The sequence below is a fragment of the Homo sapiens genome, chromosome 15 (assembly GCF_000001405.40).
Source record: "Homo sapiens chromosome 15, GRCh38.p14 Primary Assembly".
Lineage (NCBI taxonomy): Eukaryota > Metazoa > Chordata > Mammalia > Primates > Hominidae > Homo > Homo sapiens.
The window spans coordinates 54,468,520-54,494,251 of record NC_000015.10 but is presented as its reverse complement, the minus strand read 5'-3'; the positions used below and the strand labels follow the sequence as shown (position 1 = coordinate 54,494,251).

Sequence of the window (25,732 nt, the reverse complement as noted above, 5' to 3'; positions counted from 1 at the left end):
TTAAAATTCTTTTTTTAAAATTATTCTTTAAGTTTTAGGGTACATGTGCACAACGTGCAGGTTTGTTACGTATGTATACATGTGCCATGTTGTTCTAAGCATGCATAAAACATGAGTCAGGAGCTATAATCATTGATTAATCAATATTGGAGATATGAAGTGAGTAGATCACATTTCTGGCCTAGTTATTTACCCCCTAAAGCATTAAAATAGTTGAAAAGGAGAGAAAATATCTCTAACTTATGAGGCACATGATTTCTTCTTCATTCTGTAGGTTTACCTAAAGTTATCTTGCACCCCTTGGCTTTTTTGATACATTCTTAGCAGGATTTCCTAATATGTGGCATTTTTTTCTCTCTTGCTCAAAAAATATAGCTTATCACAGTTGTTAAGCTATTGTGACCTGGACATACAGGGCTGGGGAATAGAGACAAATAATAATGTTACTGAGAATGTTTATCTATGCTATTTTTCCCTCCTTAATAATATTTGGCCAGTTTTCACTACAACTGTAAACATAATGAAACCTAAAATATACCTAGCTATATCCAGGTTGAATGTGCCCTCTGAGAAATTCTGCTTGAGGTCTGTGAGTCTCCTAAGGACTTTGATTTATAGCAGAAACATCCTATACTTTACATTCCAAGCTAAATTCTTAAAACACTATTTGAAGAATTAGGTTGTTATAAACAAATTAAAGGCATCCCTGCTTTTCAAAACCGGAATATAGAGGGACTAAAATCCCAATCGTGAACATAAGAGAGAACTCAACCCCAGGTCAAACATTTCCAAATTATCTGAACAATGATTAATTCAAGACAAGTTGTAGAGCAGACAGAAAGAGAGAGAGAGGAGAGAGTGAGGGAGAGAGGCAGGAAGGGAGGGAGGGGAACATAAAGACATGTACTCACATAGAAACAAGAGTAATAAACTAATACTTCTAGGCCAAACTCCCAAACAAGATTTTAGTCAAGATGATATTTTGCTTTAGGTTCCTCCAAATTCATTTCACTGTTTTCACCATTCAGTGTAAGCTCTCCCCTAACGTCTTTCTTCAGATGTCTAATATCCCTGTGCTCTTTAAGAGAAAACATTTACTTGATAAACTCAGGTAGAAATTTCACACAATACTACCCTGAAACCCAGATCATGGAGACCTTCGCTCGGGGACTGATGAATTTAGAAGGTTCAACTTATCACAAATATAGACTCATCATTAAATAGCTCTTGGGCTCCTCTATCACTTGGGATCTTACACTTGGTGCTGGCACAGAACAAGCCAGAATACTAAATATTTCCTCTTGTGAGTAACACCACCTACTCTTATGATTAACACCCTCTAAGACCCAGAGAAACATTTTGGAACATTTTTCCTCCTGTGTCCTAGAATCAAAAGGTGACAATGTCCAAATGCTACCAAGGTTTGCGGGTTGTACCATTGCTGACAACAGAAAGATACTGCTTTGGAGTGTGGGGAGAAATTTGTGCTCTGGAAGCACTGAGGTAAGAGAAGGGGCAAACTAATTAACTTGCCAAATTCTTCCTTTGGATAGCAGAAATGCAGCAGATTATTGCATAATAAAGCATCATTAACAAGCACCCACTTGCTTACTTTCCTTTGGTTCAACTGTATGTGTCTGAAGATACTCATAAATCACTGCAGTACCATTAATCAAAACAGGTGTACATAATGGCTGAGAACTATGTTAAGTATTAAATAATTCATATTATGTTTAAATTTGTGCATGTAAATTTCTATGTTAATATACATGAAGCCTGATACTTCTTTGCCAACTAGATGGCCATTTAATGTTAAAATGGTCAATAGTTTTTATTTTTAAAATCTAGATACATGAGGTTTAACTAAATTTTAGCTGTATTCAAATGATTTACCTTAGAAATTTATATCTAATATTAATAATTTGTATTTTGTTTTCATTTAAATAAATATTTTGGGTACTTTAGAAAAAACCTTCTGAAAACTATATATAAACTGTATCTGAGAACACATATAGAGATAATTTTGTTTTAATTTTTGTATTTGAAAGTTTAAATTGAACCTTTGTATAAACTATAGACTCAAATGTGTGTTTGGAATACGGCAACCTTTTATTTTTTAATCCTTTAAATATTAACAAGCTGTGTAAACTCTGATTAGGTAGAAAAAGAAAATATATGAGTAGAAAAAGTAAAGGCTGAAAAGCAAAAAGAGAGAAAACATTTCAAAGTGAAGCTGTGCCTAAATTGTTTTTTTTTTTTTGAGATGGAGTCTCGCTTTGTCGCCCAGGCTGGAGTGCAGTGGTGTGATCTCGGCTTACTACAAGCTCCGCCTCCCGGGTTGACACCATTCTCCTGCCTCAGCCTCTCCGAATAGCTGGGACTTACAGGCGCCCGCTACCACGCCCGGCTAATTTTTTGTATTTTTAGTAGAGACGGGGTTTCACCATGGTCTGGATCTCCTGACCTCGTGATCCCCCCGCCTCGGCCTCCCAAAGTACTGGGATTACAAGCGTGAGCCACCGTGCCCGGCCAGGTGTGCCTAAATTTTAAAAACAGAAAATAATGAAAGCAAGCAGATATCATGTGACTTAGGAAAGGTATTGTTTGTTTGGCACCACATTAAGCCAAATGCAAAATATTTGAAAATTTTTATTATAAGAACAAATTAGTGATTTTGCTAAAATAAAGGTGAGAAAGTATATTTTCTGAAAAAATATACTGATTTATGCATACATTTATTTAAAAACAAAAATATTACCAATCTAAGCACAACACTCAAATATGCATATTGATAATTACATTTTAACTTTTGCATTTTTCCAGCTTTTAGCATCTTAAAATATAACTGCTATTACGTACAACTTTTATCATGTTGATATGAAGGTTTTTTTTTCCTTTGGTAGGAAGTTAGGATATGTTTTATTTAACAGTTTATTAGTTAGATTTATAAATTATAACTATTTAGGTCTATGGTATGTGGATCTTCATCTATGCTCTTGCCTCTGCAAATGTTAGGAATGAGCCTGAATTAATGTGTTATTTCTTCCAAGAGCATTTGTACATGAAGAGAATGCTAAAGAAAAAAGCAACTCAGTTTCATTTACTACCAAAAAATGTTTACTGGGTGTGTCTCTTGCCCCAGGTTGCATGTGAGGCATTGGAAATATAAATATAAACACATTGATCTGAAGTAGATGGAGCTTAGGAAGAAAGGGTGATATGTTAACTTTCAATTCAATACAATATGGCAAGTGCCTTGATTTTCGACAGGTACAGGATGTTGTGGTCTCCTGGAGGAGATGAATTTAGCTGTACTTTGTGCTTTAAGTGAACAACTTAATAATGAAATGATCTGCCGATAGTGGTATTTAGTGGGAGAGAGGAATTTATGTCAAAAGAAACATAAAACAAGACATTTTTCTTACTTAAATGGGATACTATTTAAGATGTGTGCATGTCCGCAAAATTATGTAACTATGTTTCCAATTAAAACCTTGAGCTTTTTCCTGTCTCTCTACTCATGTTTTTAAATATTTTGGTGGTAAGTCTGGGTGAATGTTGAATTTATGCCATGCCATTAAAAAAAAAAAAAAGTTTCCCAATCCCTGTCCCTTGCAATGCAGTAGCCTCTACACTTTGGAAAGCAGGTAAAAGCCAGCAGTAGGCCGCATTCTGGTCAGTTTTTCAGACAAGACCTTCAGTTCATTTGCTTAACCCATTTGTTCTTCAATTCGAGTTGTTTCTTCCTCCTTCTCTGGCTGCTCTGCTCAGAACTTATAGATCTCCTCCAATTCATCCTCCTGGACTCTGCAAACTCCCTACATTCCTGCAGTCTCTTCATTCCTGTTGTTCCCACAAAAGAAACACTTCTGTCTACTTTACTGCAGCCACACATAGGCAGACCACTTCTTCACTTCACAAGTCTTCCCGTTGAGGATGGATATGGGAAAGGAGATAGGAAAGATACCTAAATCTTTCTAAAGAATTAAAACTAGTTTTATTCTTATCTAGAGACTACTCATTCTAGTTCCTAAGAGTGTACCTGCTATGATAACTCTAAGTATCAGGGTTTTACCAGCCTCTTTGCTGGGAAAAAACATTAGAAAAATTACTAATAGTTTCCTCCTTACAAAGTTGCTTCTAAACCCATGGGAATTAATCTTTATCCCTTTATGCTATATTTCTCTCATGCACTATCAGCTGATATTTATTGTTCTCCGTGGACAGAAACAGGGGAGCTCAGTATCTGTTTGCCCATTCTGCCAGTTCAACAAAAGAGTAATTGGGTTTTTTCATGCATTATGCACTTCAGCTGATATAATAAAAGATTTTCAATATATTGAGTTAATTGGTGATACAAGTCTGATCTTGAGGACAGTACAAACAAAAAGGAAAAGAAATGATATGCTTCTATATAATGAGATCTACCTGTGATGTTTGCCCTTAAGTGGCAAATACTAAACATAAGATTTTGTTGGTTTGTTTGCAGTGACTTGTAGTACAGAAATCATCATGAACCCCAGTATTTGTGGCAGGTTTAACTAACTGGTTACCAAACTATGTCCTTTTCCTCTCAGGTACACAACCAGACTACATTTTCCAGCCTTCCTTGCTGTATGATTGAATTTGGGGCTCTGCTACATCACAACAAGATTTTCCAAGCTTAATACCCACTTATTAATTATCCTCCAGAGTGCTCTGCTTTCTAATTTCCTGCTTCTTTCTTCTTGCATACATATACATACATATAGATGTATATATACACACATACATTGAGGCTGTCTCCTTGCCCTGTTGGAACTGTATCAGTGTAACTCTAGCTGACTCCACTATGAATTGATGCACCACTGCACAGAAAACCAGTTAATCAAATTTGTTAAGTTCATGCTAAGATAAAAGTATACAGGCTTTGAATGGGGAGTAATCATACAAGTAAAATACATAGGCTTTGTGGATAATCTAATACATATTTTACCTTCCTGTCATCCTTGTTTCATATTTGTGGTCTCTCAGTTACATTCTGGGTAGTTAATGCCTCTTAAATGATTCTATAAAAAGTGAGCTGTTATTGTTCCAAAATCCAAGTGCCTGTTTTTCTTATGTGTTCATATATGCCTTCCATAATGAGTAATCACATATTATACAGGAGATATTTAAAATAAACTACAATTATATCCTAACTAATGCCTACCAAATAATCAATGTAAGATATTGTCATATCAAATTCAAAAATATAGTTCAAATTACCTTTATTTCTACTCAAATTATCTTCTGCTTAGTGGTAGACTGCGTTGACAAAATGGCATCAATCTCAACTGATGTGAATGACTCTTAGAATTTATTTAGCCATCAATCCTCCTACATTTTTAATTTTGGCAACAAAGATTTAACTAGCTCATTACATTTACAAAATAAAACATTTAATTAGTTTTCCAAACTGCAGTATAATTTTGTACAAAATTTAATCTTTGAATTTCAATGAGAAATGTGAATATTTTACTACCAGAATAAAAATGGTTCATTAAAACTGTACAAGGAAAAGGCTTGGCAATTGGGAAGAATGTGACTATTTTCCTTTAAATGGTGCTTACAAGCATTCACTTGAAAATAATATATTTTCTTCAGAAAGTCAGTGTTTATTCATGAGTTTTTTTCTGTATAGTGTACAATTATGTTTTGGTTTACATAATAGGAATGGTATATTCTTGACCTATTCTCATGCCAAAGGAAAATTTGCTGCTATCATCACAGTGTTGTTTTTCAGTCCTTACTTTGTGACATCATTTTATTGCATAAACACTGCTTTATCCTATAGTTTGTAACATATAATTTCATTAAGACTATTTTAATTATCCCTCTCCATGTTTGGCAGACTGCTCTAGCTCTAATAGGTGGTAATATGAATGGTCTGGAAACAATATGAAATAAAAAGCCTGTATTAGGACTCAGTATGTATAATGTTTTACTAGCTATTGTGTGCTCACAAACACAAAATTTTATCACCAGGAAACGTTGGTTCTAAACTATGACAGACTATGATAGATACAAAACACACGTAAGCATTTCCAAGGTAATTATAACTTCACATTAACAATATTTAGATGGGATCATGAGTTCTTTTTTATATGCTAAGAATGGTAAGCCATGTAATTAGAAGTTGAAAAAATAAGGTAGGATGAGTTGCCATTTTCCATTTTAGAGAAACTTTATAAAGATCTTATAATGTTGGGATATCTTTGGAGGCAAGAAATCATCAAAATCCTGGCTGCCAAAAGTAAGCTATAGTGTTAACAAGGTTAAAGGTTAGAGTAATAAAAATGAAAAAATAAATGACTATACGTAATATGTCAGGAAAAATCATCTGGACCAATGTGAATCCTCTAGAGAGGAAAATAGGAAAAAAGGAAAGATTAGTCACAATTGTAAATTATGGTAATCAAATTTCTTTTCTCTCTCTCTGTCTTTTTTTTTTTTTTTTTTTTTTTGAGATGGAATCTTGCTCTGTTGCCCAGGCTGGAGTGCAGTGGCACAATCTTGGCTCATGGCAACCTCCACCTCCTGAGGTCAAGCAATTATCCTGCCTCAGCCTACCAAGTCATTGAGATTACAGGTGAGTGTCACTACACCTGGCTAACTTTTGTATTGCTAGTAGAGATGGTGTTTCATTATGTTGGCCAGGCTGGTCCCAAACTCCTGACCTCAAGTAATCCACTCGCCTTAGCCTCCCACAGTGCTGGGATTACAGGTGTGAGCCACTGTGCCTGGCCATTATGGTAATAAACTTTCTTTAGAATCAATGACTTTGGAGGAACAAATATAGTTAATTTTTGTAGGGTAAGAAAAAAGATATAGAAGTTTCTTTCATGACACATTTCTGTTATTAAATCTTAGCAAAATACCAGGAAAAAAAGCAAAGAAAATTAAAGAAATAGTGCCTTACTTTATGACCACTGAAACTCATGCCAAAGGAAGCTTTATTCTTGAGAGGAGTAGCAGTTGGTAGTTCTGCTCATAGTCACAAACAATTCCTCAGCAGAAACCCGGAATGAATCCAGGATCCCTGGGTTCATTAAACCAGGAATGATGTGAGGTTGGACATACCTCATAGATACACTCTCTGATTGATCTACGTAGAATTCTGGCCTAGATCTATGAGTATGTTCTGGTTGGACATTCCTCATAGATATACTCTCTGATTGATCCACTTAGAATTCTGGCCTTGATCTATGAGGTATGTTCCAGTTGGACATTCCTCTTAGATATACTCTCTGATTGACCTACTTGAATCTTGGCTTATATCTAGTTCTGGTCTAGATCTAAAGCCATACTGGCATGTTTAGAGGAAGAGTCACTCCATGATATGACTTGGAAGAATGCTGCATGACTTGTCCAAGCCATAGACCTGAAAAATTAGGAAGCAGTATACAGGTAGATCCACATAATCTGATGTTGGAAATAGAGATGGATAGTTATAAAGAAAAAGAATGGGATGGAAAGAGAAAGGGTATTTTTAAAAAAGAGACAGCCAACAGGCTGGATCATAATGATAAAAGATAGGTGTCCAAAGCTCTTGGCATTAATTGACAAATCATTGACTAAGTGTATTAAAAAAGATAAGTTTCACTTACTTTGCATATTTACCCATAATCCTATAAATAAATATAGTACAAAGTATATCTGTGAGAATTAGAACTAAGGACTAAAATGTGGATTTCATTCCTTTATACAACATATATTTATTGACTATTCTACTATGAACCAGGTGCTATGTTCTTTTTTCTTTTCTTTTCTTTTTCTTTTTTTTTTTTTCTTTGAGATGGAGTCTTGCTCTGTCACCCTAGCTGTAGTGCAGTGGCGTGATCTTGGCTCACTGCAGCCTCCACCTCCTGGGGGTTCAAGTGATTCGCCTGCTTCAGCCTCTGGAGCAGCTAGGATTACAAGCGCCCGCCACCACACTGATATTGTGTGTGTGTGTGTGTGTGTGTGTGTGTGTGTGTGTGTTTTAATAGATCTGGGTTTTCACCACGTTGACCAGGTTGGTCTCAAACTCCTAACCTCAAGTGATGCGGCCACCTCAGCTTCCCAAAGTGCTGGGATTATGGGCATGAGCCACCATGCCCGGCCACTGGGTACTATTTTCTATACAGGAAATACAGCAAAGAAAAAGACACGGTGTCCCTGCCATCATGGAGCTTATAATATAGTGACAAGTGGCAGACAATAAATGCCATTCAATATAATGTGAAGTATAATGTGAGGTATGTGTTCTGGAAAAAAAATATATAATGTAATGTAAGGGGAGGAAGTGGGCCTGGAGTGCCTTTTTTGATAGGGTGCTCACGGAAGGTGGCTCATGAGATGACAAGAGAGCAGAACTGAATGAAGTCAAAAAGCAAACCACAGAGCCATCTTCTGGAAGAGCATTCCTGGTGGAGAATACAGACAGTGAAATGGCCCTCAAGCAAAAAAGTGTGCTTGACAAGCTCAAAGAGATGCAAGGAGGCCAGTGTGACTGAAGCAAAGTGAGTTCAGGGGAGTGTTGAGATCTGGGTTCAGAGAGAAACCCGGACTAGGTCACATAGGATCTTGTAACCCATGACTGAGACATTTTCCTCTAAGAGTTATGGAATAAAACTGCATGATTTTGGTCTGATTTACATCTGTAAAACATGACTTCGGTTGCTATCTGGTGAACAGAAGACAGGGATGAGAAAGTGGAGGCAGAAGGAGATGCAGAAGGCTACTGCAGTAGAACAAGGGACAGGGCAGCTTGGACACTTGGGTGGTAGCAGTGATGATTGTGGTAGAAGCGGTGAGGCATGAAGTCTAATCTTGGTTCTGTGTCTTTCCACTACATAGCCTTACCTCTCACCTCTTTCCTACTAAATAACCTGAGACCAGAAATGGTAACTTATTGAAATTTTGTATCCTTGCTCAATCTTGTTTGCTTAGAACCATAGATGGATGAATAGATGAATAGATAAATGGATGAAAGAATGTAAAGATTGTATCCAGTTTCTTTGCCATTTCCATTTCTTCATTTTCTTCTAGGTCTTACTGGGAATGAAGTGGATCATCAATCAGACTAATCAACATTGGACTTGGCCTACAGCTTTGCTGGTTTATAGCTTCCAATGGGGAAAAGTCACTGCTGCATCTTACTCATTTTTTTTTCTGTATTAAAATAAAAGGCCCTGATTGTGTCAGTAAATTTTTTTGCTAAGAATTGTTGATAAAACAAAAAAAAAATTCATCCATAATAGTTCAAATTAACCACTCATAAATAATCAGTTTCAAGTATGTCTCAGAATCTTATAACTTTTATTACAAAATCATTACTTATAGTTTTTTATTAAAACACTCAAATCTTTGTGGATTTTACCTCTTGAAATTTATGGTACATTTTCTCATTACTTATTTAAATGTAACCTGTAATTGAGATCCTTTTTTGTGGGAGGAAATTGATTTCTATCAATGATTTACAGCATACAAAAACAAACTGTAGGAATTTCTCTTTTTGGTAGATTTCAACTAAGCTCTTTTTTCCTTAGCTTTTCTGAATTTGCCTTCATCTCCTTATTATTTACTAAGGAGATGGGCCCAAGTGATAGGTCATGAAGATAAAGTGAAAACATGTTCACTTAGTTTATATTTTGACAGGAAGTAAAAACATCCTAAATATTTGATCAATTTAAAATGTATTATTGGCAGGAATAGTTATTTACTTACTTTACTGATAATGTATTTGTTTAATAAGTCTAAATTTCCTTTCTCTGTATGCCATTTTAGTTCTGACATGTTCAATTCAGCTCATGGTTTTAAAATAACATCTGGATAGGAGTTCCTAATGTATCATGTCTCAATTTTACACTGAAAACGCATAAGTGAACACAGAAAATTATGAATACTTCCATGCTCGCTAAAAAGTAAAACCAATCAATAACCATGGCTAGGACCTAGGGGAAATTTTCAAAACAACTGGATTTATAAAACTGCAATACAATGACCCATTCAGATGTGTTTGAGCACCTAAGACCATGTCTCCCACTATAATCCTGACTCTTGCTGTTCATCTCTTCCTCACCTCCAGTTGCTTGCCAGGTATGAATGCATATAAGAGAAAACTGTGTAGCTAATCATCAGCTTCCTAGATGCTGGTTTTTTTTTTTCAGGGAAGCCAGAGTTCTGATTCATAATCCTTCCCAACCCTGCAACAAATAATTCAATGTATGAAAGGTATGGAAGACCACTTCCAGAAGATAACTAGCCAGGAAGTGTGTGAGTGTGCATGTGTGTGTGTGTATGTACTGTGTGTGTTTGTGTATGTTCCGTGAATATGTGTGTTTCTGTTGGTAAAAGGTAGGTAAAAAGGTGAGAGGGAGACAAAGAAATGCCAGTGGCATTTTGCATTGTAGGGAGAGTGTTTCTCACAATTAAAATAACCTTAACATCCTATGCAATGGCAAAGACAGAAAATAAGTAATGTGAAGAAAACAGGGCTGGGCGCAGTGGCTCATGACAGTCATCCCAGCACCCTGGGAGGCAGAGGCAGACGGGGTGAAACTCCATTTCTACCAAAAATATAAAAATTAGCTGGGCATGGTGGCACGCACCTGTAATCCCAGCTACTTGGGAGGCTGAGGCAGGTGAATGGCTTGAAGCCGGGAGGTGGACGTTGCAGTGAGCTGAGATCGCGCCACTGCACTCCAGCCTGGTAACAAAGTGAGACTCCATCTCAAAAAAAAGAAAAGAAAAGAAAAGAAAACAGCGTAATTCTCATGAAAAGAAATTAAAAACAAAGAAAAATTGTTCTAAATAATCATCTGGATTATTTAGAGTAGTTCACAAACCTTAGTCTGAGCTTGTTAAAATGCAGATTCCTGACCCCTACTCTCAGAGATTTGGTAAGTCTGGAATAAGCATTCAGGTGAATATAAGCATTCAGATGAATATAATGCAGGTGACCTGGCTGGCCTATGTTGACAGACACTGTCACCAAGGTTAACACAGATCTCTGAAAAACCAGCTGAAGAGCAGAAGATAAATTTAATTTAAAAGCATGCAAAGTGGTAAGATGATGTCTTATTTTCTATGAAATAAGAAAACAAAGCCATAAGAAGAAAAGACACTTAGAGAATAAGATTACAAATTATGACGGAGTTGCAGCTCTAGTATTCACTATATTAGAAAATTAATATTCACTGTAAAATTTAAATTGGATAATGTTAAAAGCTACCTAAATGTTTAGAGCACTTCTGACAAATAGTTAAATTTTCTTAATATTCAAATGATTTTTATAAATTAATAACAATTAATAAACTAGTTCATTAAAAAGTTAGAGGATAAGAAATTCTCATTTACAATGGCCTTTAGACATGTGAAAAATGTATAACTATGTTCATATTTAAAGAAATGACAATTTAATGAGATATTTGTCAGACTGACAAAAAGTAAAATATACACTGCTTTTCCCATTAGGGAAAAATTGGCAATATATATCAACATTTTAAATGTGCAGGAGACTTCAAGATGGGTAAACTAGAGGTACCTGGCACTTGCCTCCTCCACACAGAGGGACCTAAACACCAAGTAGGTAACCACATGTGGAATACAGCATCTGGGAGAGAACAGTGGAATTCAGCAGGGAAGAGACAGAGAACTTCTGAGGCGAGGAAGGAGAGAGAAGTGAAGTAGCTGGCCCCTCAGGATCAGCTCAGAGTCAGGAGGAACCTCCCATTGTGGGAAAAAGGTGAACAAAAGATCCCCAGTGGTTTAAATTCCCACCGCCCGCTCCTACATTCCTAACACAGGAGAACCCTTTGGCTCTCACAGGCCCTGAGACTGGAATAGGAGCTGCTGCGAGTTCACTTGATTGGATTAATTCAAAGAAGGAGTTCACGCTGGGTCCTGTAACCCCTCCAAGACCCAAACAGCAGCAATATTGTGCTATTTTGAGAGCCCAGGCCTCACTGGACTATCCTGTGCCCAGAGGGCTAAAAGCTCCTGCATTTACGTTACTGAAGCTCTGCTGACATCCCCCTATGTCCTTCCCGAGGACTGCAGTATCATGACACTAGCTGGACACGGCAGTGCAGCTGAGTTTCCACTACTCTAGCCCATGCAGTGCCTTACACCCCAGGGAACATGTGGTAAAGCACACCAGAGAGGCTGCCATGAGAAAAAAGCGAGACAAAGTGTATATTCCCCAGGGCTTGAGAGCCACCTGCCTAGGACCACTGCCATGCAGAGCAACCCTGCCCCTCACAGGAGCAATGCTGCCACACACCTGCAAGTGCCTTCAAGGGCCTTGGTTATGGGCCCATCCACATGTCATCCTGGGACCTGAGGAGAGATTTGTCCTGCACATCACCACTGCTGCCTATACCCACACAGGTCATCTGGAGGCCTGGGGATTGGTCCATCCTGCCTGCCACTGCTGGCATCCCCATGCACCATCAGGAGACATGAGGACAGGGCTGCTCTACACACCACAGATGCAGCAACTTTTCATGTCCTCTGGATTCTGTGTCCTGCCCACCACCACTGGTGCTTGCATACAGCATCCAGGGACCCAAAGACAGGCCCATCCTTGTCCCATAAACCCCCCAAAACCCAAGCAGCTGCAGCATTCTGCTATTTTGAGAGCCCAGCCTCACCAGACTATATTGCGCCCTGAAAGCCACTGCTGCTGCAACCAGTACTTGCATGTATCATCCTGGACCTGGGGACTGATCCAACCCACCTGCCGACTGCAGGTACACACACACACACCTTCCAAGACCCTGAAGATCAGCTCACCCTGTCCCCCACTGTAGCATGTGCATGTCATCCAGGAGCATTAGGAAAGGCCAATTTCTTTCTTGCAGTCTGCACCCAAGTGTGTTTCTCAGGGGTCAGGGACTGGCCTGCCCAGTCCTGCACTGCCACTGCTGGCTCCAGCATGCACCACTCATGGGCCTGAGGGTTGGCTCACCACCACTACTGCCACTGCCAATGTTATGCATACTGACGCCACCACCACTGGCACCTGAGGACCAGCATGCCTAGCATCCCATCCACAGCAATGCATTGCCATAGCCTCCACTAATAACGGCAGCTTAAACCACAGAGGAACTCCAAGACATTAATGATACTGATTACAGCCAAAGGAATGGTACAGAGAACACACTACTATGCCCTGCCAGAAACAAAACCAAAGCATCCTACCAAACCAATACTATAGTTACATAGGTTTTGAGAGCCAAGTCCTCATGAGAATACATTGTACCCTGAGACCCTACAGCTAGTGCATCTATAGATCCCTGAAGCCCTGCTGACATCCCCTCTGCTGAGAAATCTGCTGCTAATCTGATTTCCTTACATGTGACTATAGGAAAAAGGCTTTCCCTATAAAAGCTAATTGATAAAATTAGAAAAAGTGACTGTTACACCAGGTGTGCAGATAGTAAATGCAAGAACCCAAGAAATAAGAGAAAGCAAGGAAACATGACACCTGCAAAGCAACACGATAATTCTCTAGTAACAAATTTCATAGAAAAGGAAATATATGAAATACTTAAAAATTAATTAAAAATGGTAATACTAAAGAAACACAGAGCAAGAGAACCCAGATAAACAATACGAATGAATTAGAAAATTCATAATCTGAATAAGAAATTCAACAAAGAGATAAACATCATTATAAAGAAAAAATCATGGAACTAAATATTTAATGAATGAAAAAACATAATTGAGAACTTCAACAATAGAGAAGGTCAAGCAGAGTGAAGAATTTATAAACCTGAAGACAGGTCTTTTGAGATAACCCAGCCAGACAAAACTAAAAAAAAAAAAAAGAGTAAAAAAAGAATGAACGAAGCCTATGTAACACATGAAACATTATAAAGTGACAAAATATTCAAAACTTCAGTGTCCCAGAGGGTGAGAAGAAAGCCAATGGAATAGAAAACCATTTTATATTATTAAATATAATAGCTTAAATAATAAATAAATAATAAAGACCACAGCAGAGCTAAATGAAGGCTTCTTAAGTCTTACAATAAATATGGACATTCAAATACAGGAAGCTCACAGATCTTCCAACAGATTCAATCCAAAAGCTTCCTCCAAGGAATATTATCATCAAACTGCCAAAAGTCAAATACAAAGAAAGAATTCTCCAAACAGTAAGGAAAAAGTCAACTCACATATAAGGGAGTCTCCATCAAACCAACAGTAGCTTCTCAGCAGAAAGCTTACAGGCCAGGAGAGAATAGGATGAAATATCCCAAGTGCAAAAGAAAAACAAACAAACAGCAACAACAAAAAACTGCCAATAAAAAATACTATACCCAGCAAAGCTACTATTCGAATCTGAAAGGCAAGTAAATTCTTTCCCAGACAAACAAAAACAGAAGGAATTCATCACCACTACACAGGCCTTACAAGAAATGCTTAAGGAATCCCTATATTTGGAAGTGAAAAGATGATATCTACCATAATGAAAACAAAAAAGTATAAAATTTACTAGTAGAGTGCATACAGAAAAAAAAACTAAAAGGAATCCAACATTATCACTTTGAAAACCCAAAAAATTGTAAAGGCAAACAATAAAAGATGAATAAAGAAAAACGGATATATGAAACAATCAGAAAACAAATAACAAAATGACAGGAGTAAGTTATCACCTAACAATGATAACCTGGAATGCAAACTGTTTTAAATTTCTGATTAAAAGATGTAAACAGGTTAAATGGATTTAAAAAAATCTGACTGTATGCTGCCTAAAAGAAATTTACTCCACCTGTAAAGATACATATAGACTGAATGTGAAGGAATTAAAAAATTATTCCACAAAAATGGAAATCAAAAGCATGCAGGAATAACTAATAGCAGACAAAAGAGACTTTACATTAAAAACAGAAAAAGAGAAAAAGAAGAACATTATATAATAATCAAGGGATCAATTTACCAAGATGATATATCAATCATAAATATATATGCACCCAATACCAAAGCACCCAGATATATAAAGCAAATATTCTTAGAGCTAAAGAGAGAGAGAGACCCCCATAAAATAATAGTCGGGGATTTCAATAATCCCCGTGATTATTGAAGCACTGCAGAGCACTTGAAGCACTGGACAGCATATATATTCAAGGATTTATAGCCAACTGAATTTTTACAAAGGCACCACGAACACACCTTGGTGAACAGATACCCTCTTCAATAATGGTGCCAGGAGAGCTGGATATCCCATATATATGCACCCAATACAGGAGCACCCAGATTCATAAAGCAAGTCCTGAATGACCTACAAAGAGACTTAGACTCCCACACATTAATAATGGGAGACTTTAACACCCCACTGTCAACATTAGACAGATCAACAAGACAGAAAGTTAACAAGGATACTCAGGAATTGAACTCAGCTCTGCACCAAGCGGACCTAATAGACATCTACAGAACTCTCCACCCCAAATCAACAGAATATACATTTTTTTCAGCACCACACCACACCTATTCCAAAATTGACCACATAGTTGGAAGTAAAGCTCTCCTCAGCAAATGAAAAAGAACAGAAATTATAACAAACTGTCTCTCAGACCACAGTGCAATCAAACTAGAACTCAGGATTAAGAAACTCACTCAAAACTGCTCAACTACATGGAAACTGAACAACCTGCTCCTGAATGACTACTGGGTACATAATGAAATGAAGGCAGAAATAAAGATGTTCTTTGAAACCAATGAGAACAAAGACACAACATACCAGAATCCCTGAGACACATTCAAAGTAGTGTGTAGAGGGAAATTTATAGCACTAAATGCCCACAAGAGAAAGCAGGAAATATCCAAAATTGACACCCTAATATCACAATTAAAAGGACTAGAAAAGCAAGAACAAACAAATTCAAAAGCTAGCAGAAGGCAAGAAATAACTAAAATCAGAGCAGAACAGAAGGAAATAGAGACAAAAAAAAAATCTTCAAAAAATTAATGAATCCAGGAGCTGGTTTTTTGAAAGGATCAACAAAATTGATAGACCACTAGCAAGACTAATAAAGAAAAAAAGAGAGAAGAATCAAATAGATGCAATAAAAAATGATAAAGGGGATATCACCACCAATCCCACAGAAATACAAACTACCATCAGAGAATACTACAAACACCTCTACGCAAATAAACTAGAAAATCTAGAAGACACGGATAAATTCCTCGACACATACACTCTCCCAAGACTAAACCAGGAATAAGATGAATCTCTGAATAGACCAATAACAGGATCTGAAATTGTGGCAATAATCAACAGCTTACCAACCAAAAAGAGTCCAGGACCAGATGGATTCACAGCCGAATTCTACCAGAGGTACAAGGAGGAACTGGTACCATTCCTTCTGAAACTATTCCAATCAATAGAAAAAGAGGGACTCCTCCTTAACTCATTTTATGAGGCCAGCATCATCCTGATACCAAAGCCGGGCAGAGACACAACCAAAAAAGAGAATTTTAGACCAATATCCTTGATGAACATTGATGCAAAAATCCTCAATAAAATACTGGCAAAGCGAATCCAGTAGCACATCAAAAAGCTTATCCACCATGATCAAGTGGGCTTCATCCCTGGGATTCAAGGCTGGTTCAATATACGCAAATCAATAAATGTAATCCAGCATATAAACAGAACCAAAGACAAAAACCACATGATTATCTCAATAGATGCAGAAAAGGCCTTTGAAAAAATTCAACAACGCTTCATGCTAAAAACTCTCAATAAATTAGGTATTGATGGGACGTATCTCAAAATAATAAGAGCTATCTATGACAAACCCACAGCCAATATCATACTGAATGGGCAAAAACTGGAAGCATTCCCTTTGAAAAGTGGCACAAGACAGGGATGCCCTCTCTCACCACTCCTATTCAACATAGTGTTGGAAGTTCTGGCCAGGGCAATTAGGCAGGAGAAGGAAATAAAGGGTATTCAATTAGGAAAAGAGGAAGTCAAATTGTCCCTGTTTGCAGATGACATGATTGTATATCTAGAAAACCCCATCGTCTCAGCCCAAAATCTCCTTAAGCAGATAAGCAACTTCAGCAAAGTCTCAGGATACAAAATCAATGTACAAAAATCACAAGCATTCTTATACACCAACAACAGACAAACAGAGAGCCAAATCATGAGTGAACTCCCATTCACAATTGCTTCAAAGAGAATAAAATACCTAGGAATCCAACTTACAAGGGATGTGAAGGACCTCTTCAAGGAGAACTACAAACCACTGCTCAAGGAAATAAAAGAGGATACAAACAAATGGAAGAACATTCCATGCTCATGGGTAGGAAGAATCAATATCATGAAAATGGCCGTACTGCCCAAGGTAATTTATAGATTCAATGCCATCCCCATCAAGCTACCAATGACTTTCTTCACAGAATTGGAAAAATTACTTTAAAGTTCATATGGAACCAAAAAAGAGCCCGCATCACCAAGTCAATCCTAAGCCAAAAGAACAAAGCTGGAGGCATCATGCTACCTGACTTCAAACTATACTACAAGGCTACAGTAACCAAAAGAGCATGGTACTGGTACCAAAACAGAGATATAGATCAATGGAACAGAACAGAGCCCTCAGAAACAACGCTGCATATCTACAACTATCTGATCTTTGACAAACCTGAGAAAAACAAGAAATGGGGAAAGCATTCCCTATTTAATAAATGGTGCTGGGAAAACTGGCCAGCCATATGTAGAAAGCTGAAACTGGATCCCTTCCTTACACCTTATACAAAAATTAATTCAAGATAGATTAAAGACTTAAACGTTAGACCTAAAACCATAAAAACCCTAGAAGAAAACCTAGGCATTACCATTCAAGACATAGGCATGGGCAAGGACTTCATGTCCAAAACACCAAAAGCAATGGCAACAAAAGCCAAAATTGACAAATGGGATCTAATTAAACTAAAGAGCTTCTGCACAGCAAAAGAAACTACCATCAGAGTGAACAGGCAATCTACAAAATGGGAGAAAATTTTCGCAACCTACTCATCTGACAAAGGGCTAATATCCAGAATCTACAATGAACTCAAACACATTTACAAGAAAAAAACAAACAACCCCATCAAAAAGTGGGCAAAGGACATGAACAGACACTTCTCAAAAGAAGACATTTATGCAGCCAAAAGACACATGAAAAAATGCTCATCATCACTGGCCATCAGAGAAATGCAAATCAAAACCACAATGAGATACCATCTCACGCCAGTTAGAATGGCAATCATTAAAAAGTCAGGAAAAAACAGGTGCTGGAGAGGATGTGGAGAAATAGGAACACTTTTACACTGTTGGTGGGACTGTAAACTAGTTCAACCATTGTGGAAGTCAGTGTGGCGATTCCTCAGGGATCTAGAACTAGAAATACCATTTGACCCAGCCATCCCATTACTGGGTATATACCCAAAGGACTATAAATCATGCTGCTATAAAGACACATGCACACGTATGTTTATTGCAGCACTATTAACAATAGCAAAGACTTGGAACCAACCCAGATGTCCAACAATGATAGACTGGATTAAGAAAATGTGGCACATATACACCATGGAATACTATGCAGCCATAAAAAATGATGAGTTCATGTCCTTTGTAGGGACATGGATGAAATTGGAAATCATCATTCTCAGTAAACTTTTGCAGGGACAAAAAACCAAACACTGCATGTTCTCACTCATAGATGGGAATTGAACAATGAGAACACATGGACACAGGAAGGGGAACATCACAGTCTGGGGACTGTTGTGGGGTGGGGGGAGAGGGGAGGGATAGCATTAGGAGATATACCTAATGCTAAATGACGAGTTAATGGGTGCAGCACGCCAGCATGGCACATGTGTACATATGTAACTAACCTGCACATTGTGCACATGTACCCTAAAACTTAAAGTATAATAATAATAATAATAATAATAATAATAATAATAATAATAAACAAAAAACCATACCCCTCTCACTATACACAAAAATAAACTCAAAATATATTAAAGACTATCAGACCTGACACTACAAAAACAGGGTGAACACTTCAGAACACTGGTCTAGGCAACTATTTTATGGCTAAGACCTCAAAAGCACAGGCAACAAAAGAAAAAACAGACAAATCAGAGTGATATAATTTGGCTATTTGTCCTCTCCAAATCTTGTGTTGAAATTTGATCCCTAATGTTGTAGGTAGGGCCTAATAGGAGGTGTTTGAGTCATGGGGATGGATGTCTTCACACTAATGGCTTGGTATCCTTCTTGTGGGATTCAGTGAACTCTCACTTTTAGTTCCCATAAAATCTAATTGTTAAAATGTGTCTGGCACCTCCCTTCCCTCTCTCTTTTCTCCTCTCTTGTCGTGTGATGCCTGCTCCCCTTCTTCTTCTGGTATGGGTGGAAGCTTCCTGAAGCCCTCACCAGAAGCAGATACTGGCACCATGCTTCTTGTACAGCCTGAAGAAACATAAGCCAAAAAGACATAAATTACCCAGCCTCAGGTATTCCTTATACCAGTGCAAATGGACCAACACCAGGACTATATTAAACTAAAAAGCTACTGCACAGCAAAAGAAACAATCAACAGAGTGAAGAGATAACCTATAGAATGGGAGAAAACATTTGCAAACTATTCATCTGACAAAAATAATATCCAGAACATACAAGAACTCAAACAAGTAAACAGCAAAACAAAACAAACAAACACAACAAATAATTACATTAAAAAGCAGGCAAGGGACATGAATAATTTCTCAAAAAAAATGACATACAAATGTCCAACTGGTATATGAAAAAATGCTTAACATCACTAATCATCAAGGCAATGCAAATCAAAACCACAATGAGAAATTATCTCACTTCAGTTAGAATGGCTATTATCAGAAGGAAAAAAATAGCAGATGCTGGTGAGGACGCAGAGAAAAAAGAACTCTTACACTCTTGGTAGGAATGTAAATTAGTATAGCCATTATGGAAAACAGTATGAAGATTTATCATAAAAACTAAAAATAAGACTACCATATGTTCTGGCAATTCCACTACTGGGTATTTACCACCCCTCCCAAAAAAAGCAAATCAACAAATCAATATATAAAAGAAATACCTGCACCCCCGTGTTTATTGTAGCACTAATAACAATAGCCAAGATAAGTTTTCATCAATGGATAGATGGATTAAAAAATGCAGTAAGCCCAATGGAATATTATTTGGCCATAAAAATAATGACATTATGTCTTTTGCAGAAATCCAGACACAGAAGACAAATATCACACGTTCTCATTTAAAAAGGTGTACACACAGATGTAGAGAGTGGAATGATAGATAATTAGAGACTCAGAAGGGTGACAAGGTAGGAGGGGGAAAGATGATGAGAAACTGGTTAATGGATGCAATGTATATTATTCGTGTGATATATACCCTAAAAGCACTGACTTCACCACTACATGTGTAACAAAATGCACTTGTATCCCATAAACATATATAAATTTATAAAAAAAAACTAAAAAAAGAAAAAAGAGAAGAGGTGGTATATATACACAATGGAATACTATTGAGCTGTAAAAAGGAAGGAAATCTTGCACTTGCAGCAACATAGATGGAACCAGAGGTCATTATATGATGTCAAATAAGCTAGGCACAGAAAGACAAATTTTGGGAGCTAAAATCGCTGATTTCATGGAGTTAGAGGGTAGAATGATAGTTATAAGAGGCTGAGAAGGGTAGAGGAGAGAATCAAGAGAGGTTGGTTAATGGGTGCAAACATAAAGTTACAAAGAAAGAATAAGAAAGTTGTAGTGTTTGCCAGCACAGCGGGGGTAACTAAAGTTAACAATAATTCAATGTATATTTCAAACTAACTAAAAGATTTGAACTGTTCCTAACACAAAGAAATGATCAATGTTTAAGGCGATGGATATCCTAATTACCCTGATTTGATCATTACTCTTTGTATGAATGTATCAAAATATCATATGTCCCATACATATGTATAATTATTATGTATCAATAAAATAAAATAAAATAAAATAAATAATCAATAAAATAATCTCCAACAAACATCTAATGCATACATATTTAGGCCATTATCCTAAGCAAGTTAACGAAGGAACAGAAAACCAAATACCACATGTTCTCACTTTTAGTGGGAGCTGAGCATTAGGTACTCATGGAAATAAAGATGGCAACAACAGACACTGGGGAGTACTAGATGTGGGGGTGGGGGAGAGAGGGAAAAGAGGGTTGAATAACTATTGGGTACCATGCTCACTACCTCGGTAATGGGATCATTCATATTCCAAACCTCAGCATAATGCAATATACCCATGCAACAAATCTGTACATGTCCGACTCCCCAAATATGAAATACATGTTTAAATTATTTTTAAAAAAGGAAACAAGTTAAAAACAAAAAGAGAGCCTTGAAAGCAGCAAAGGAAAAGCAAATTGTTATATATGTGAGAACGTCTATTAGATTATCAGTACATATTTCAGAAGAAACATTCTAGGCCAGAAGTAAGTGAGATGATATACTCAAAATTATGAAAGAGAAAAAAACTGTCAACCAATAATACTATACATTGCAACTCTGTTTTTCAGAAAAAAGGAAGGAGTGATAAATACTTTCTCAGACAAATAAAAGAAGAGAATGGCGGGTCTAGTTTATCACTGGTACATCTGCATTAGACCTGCCTTTGAAGAAATGCTAAGAGCAAATTTTTAAGATTAAGGAAGAGGATGCTAATTACTGATATGAAAACATATAAAAGTATAGAACTTACTGGTAAAAGTAAGCACTTTTTAATGAAAGAAAAGTCAAATCCAAAACACTATAAAACTGACATAACAATGGGCAAGTCAATGATAATCTTCAGTAAAAAGTTTAAAAGGCAAAACTGTTAAACACAACTAAAATTTAAATAATGGGTTAATGGATGCATATTATTAAAAGATGTAAACTGTGACATCAAACACAAACAAGGAGAAGAGGAAATAAAAGTGTAGAGTTTTTCTTGGCTATCAAAGTTGGGTGATTATCAGCTTAAAATAGCCAGTTTTAAAGTATGAGAGGCTTTATGTAAGCATTAGGGTAACCACAAGAAAAAGGCTATAATAGATGTACAAAAGATAAAAAGGAAAGATCCAAAGCATATTATTACAGAAAGCCATGAAACCAGTGAAAGTAAGCAAAGGTACAGAAAGGAATAAAGGATCTGCAAACAATCATCAAACGAATACCAAAATGGCACTTGTAAGTTCTTATCTATCAACAACTGTTTTAAATGTAAGTGGATTAAATTCTGTAATCAAAAGGCATAGAGTAGCTAAATAGATTAATTTTTTAAAAGACCCAACTATATGCTAGCTACATATAGCACATAATTGGGTCTTTTTCACCTTACAGACAAGTCATAGACAGATAATCCAAATAGAAAATCAATTTAAAAAGCATTAATTTGAACTACATCAAACAGACATAACACACATATACAGAAGATTCCATCCAACAGCAACAAAATACACATTTTTTTCAAGTGTATACCAACAATTTTCCAAGATAGATCATATGTTAGGCCACAAAATAAGTCTTAAGAAGTTAGACTATACCTATATGCTACCTACATATAGCATATAGTTAGGTCTTTTCACCTTATGGAAAAGTCATAGACTGAAAGTGAAGGAATAGGAGAAGGTAGAACATGCAAAGAAAGCCAAAGGGGAATGGGGGCATCTATACTTATTTCAGACAAAACAGACTTTAGGCCAAAAACTATAAAAACAAAGGTCATAATAAAATGATAAAGGGTCAATTCATCAAGAGGATAAAACAATTGTAAAGATCTATACACCCAACTTTGAAGCACCTGCATATGCAACTACAGATCTCATTAAGAGATCTGAAGAGAGACACAGACTGCAACACAATCATTGTAGGGAATTTCAGTATCCTACTTTCAACAATAGATAGATAACCCAAATAGAGAAATCAACTAAAAAAGCATTTGCTTGAACTATAACAGACATAACACACATATTCAGAATATTCTATCCAACAGCAACAAATGCACATTCTTTCCAAGTGCATACAGAACATTTTCCAAGATAGATCAAATATTAGGCCACAAAAAGTCTTAACAAATTTGAGAAGATCAAAATCATATGAAGTATCTTTTCCAACCATAATTATATAAAACTAGAAAGCAATAACAGGAAAAATTATGTAAAATTAACAAATATATGGAAATTGAACAATGTGCTCCTAAAAAACTATAGGGTTAAAAAAATGAAAAAATTTGAAAATATCTTGAGAGTATTATGGGATGCAGCAAAAGTAGTTCTGAGAGGGAAATATATAGCAATAAATGCCTACATTAAAAAAGAAGAAAGATCTAAAAGTAAAAAAAAGTTACATCTCAAGTAACTAAAAAACAAGGATAAACTAAATGCAACATTAGCAGAATGAAGGAAACAACAAAGATCAAAGCATAAATAAATGGAATAAAAACTAGAAAAGCAATTTAAAAGACTAATGAAACAAAAAATTGGCTTTTAAAAAGATAAACAAAATTGAAAAAATCTTAGCTTTTTTCTTAGACTAAGAAAAAAGAGAGAAGGCTCAAATAAATAAAATCATAAATGAAAAAAGAGATATTACAGCTGATAACACAAAGTACAAAGGATCATAAGAAAGTACTGTGAACAACTATATGCAAACTAATTAGACAACCTGAAAGAAATGGATAAAGTCCTAAAATCATATAACCTACCAAGACTGAATCACAAAGAAATAGCAAATCTGAGTAGGCCAATAAAGAGTGAGGAGACTGAATCAGTAATTAAATGTCTCCCATTAAAGAAAAGTCCAGGACCAGAAGCATCACAACTGAATTTTACCAAACATTTCAAGAAGAACTAATACATATTCTACTCAAACCCTTCCAAATATTGAAGAGGTAGGAATACTTCCAATCACATTTCATAGTCTAGCATTAAACTGATACCAAAGCCAGACAGATACATTTATTTTCATTATATCCTGATGAACATAGATGGGCAAAAATCCTCAACTAAATTATTAGCAAACTATATTCAGCAGTACATTAAAAAGAATGAACACCATGATCAAGTGGGATTTATCTCTGGGATGCAAGGATGGTACAATATATGTAAATCAATACATGTGATTCATGTTATATTAAAGAATGAACAAAGACCATATGAGCATCTTAAAAGAGTCAGATAAAGCATTTGATAAAATTAAACATCACTTTATGATAAAACATACCACTCAACAAATTAGTTTTAGAAGGAATATTCCTCAATAGAGTAAAGACCATATATGACATGCTCACAGTTAACATCATACTGAATGGCAAAAAGTCGAAGACTTCTCCTCTGATCTCAGGAACAATATAAGGATGGCTACTCTCACCACTTCTGTTCAGCATAGTACAGTCAGCCCTTCATAACTGTTGGTTTTATATCATGGATTCAACCAACCATTGATTGAAAATACTCACAAAAAATTCCACAAAATTCCAAAAAGCAAAACTTGAATTTGCTGTGTACCAAGTACTACCCTGAACCCACATAAATGAAGTGATGTGTTGGCATTGTATTAGGCATTATAAGTAAACTAGACAGGATTTTATGTATATGAAAGGATATGCATTAATTATATGCAAATATTGAGCCATTTTAGATAAGGGGATTGAACATGCACAGATTTTGGTATCTACAGGGGGTCCTGGAACCAGAGACATGTGAATACTGATGGGTAACTGTACTGAAAGTCCTAACCAGAGCAATTAGACAACAGAAGGAAATGAAAGGCATCCAAATGGGAAAGGAAAGAAAAATCTGCTTGCTGATGGCATGATTTTATATAAAGAAAATCCTGAAGACTCTACATAAGAAACATTCCTAGAACTCATAAAGGAACTCAGTGAAGTTGCAGGATACAAAACCAACTTATGAAAATTAGTATCATTTCTACACAGTAATAATAAACTGTTTGAATTAGAAATTGAGAACACAATCCCATTTACAATAACATAAAAAATAACACAGAAGGAAATTTAGTTAAGGAGGTGAAAGATCTGTATACTGAAATCTCTAAAACATTGATAAAAGAAATTGGAGGTAACATGAGAAAATAGACATCCCTTACTCATGGATTGGAATAATTAATATTGTTAAAATGTCCATAGTGCTAAAATCAATCTATAGATTCAGCAAAATGTCTATAAATATTTCAATGCTATTCTTCACGGAAATAGAGAAAACAATCCTAAAATTTGTAAGGAATCACAAAAGTCTTGAAATAGCCAAAGTAATCTTGAGCCAAAGGAGAAGCATCACACTACTGGATTTCAAAATACTTACAAAGCTATAATAAACCAAGTGCATAGTATTGACATAAAAACAGATATACTAAGCAATGGAACAGGATAGAGAGCCCAGAAATAAATCCACATATTTATAGTCAATTTATTTTTGACAAAGGCGCCAGTGCACACAATGGGGAAAGGACAGTATTTTCAACAGATGGTACTGGGAAACCTGGATAGCCACATGCAAAAGAATGAAAATGGACCCTTAACTCACCCCTTATACAAGAATCATCTCAAAATAGATTAAAGACTTAAAAGTAAGACATGAAACTGTAAAACTTCTAGAAGGAAACACAGGGGAAAATCTTCACGACATTGATCAGGG

At 36.3% G+C, this 25,732-nt stretch overlaps 1 protein-coding gene across 7 annotated transcripts in view; it reads right to left on the bottom strand.

Moving 5' to 3' along the window:
- UNC13C (unc-13 homolog C) overlaps positions 1-25,732 on the bottom strand; it is a 795,839-nt gene that overhangs the window by 139,189 nt on the left and 630,918 nt on the right. The gene's annotated exons all lie outside the window — the stretch shown is intronic.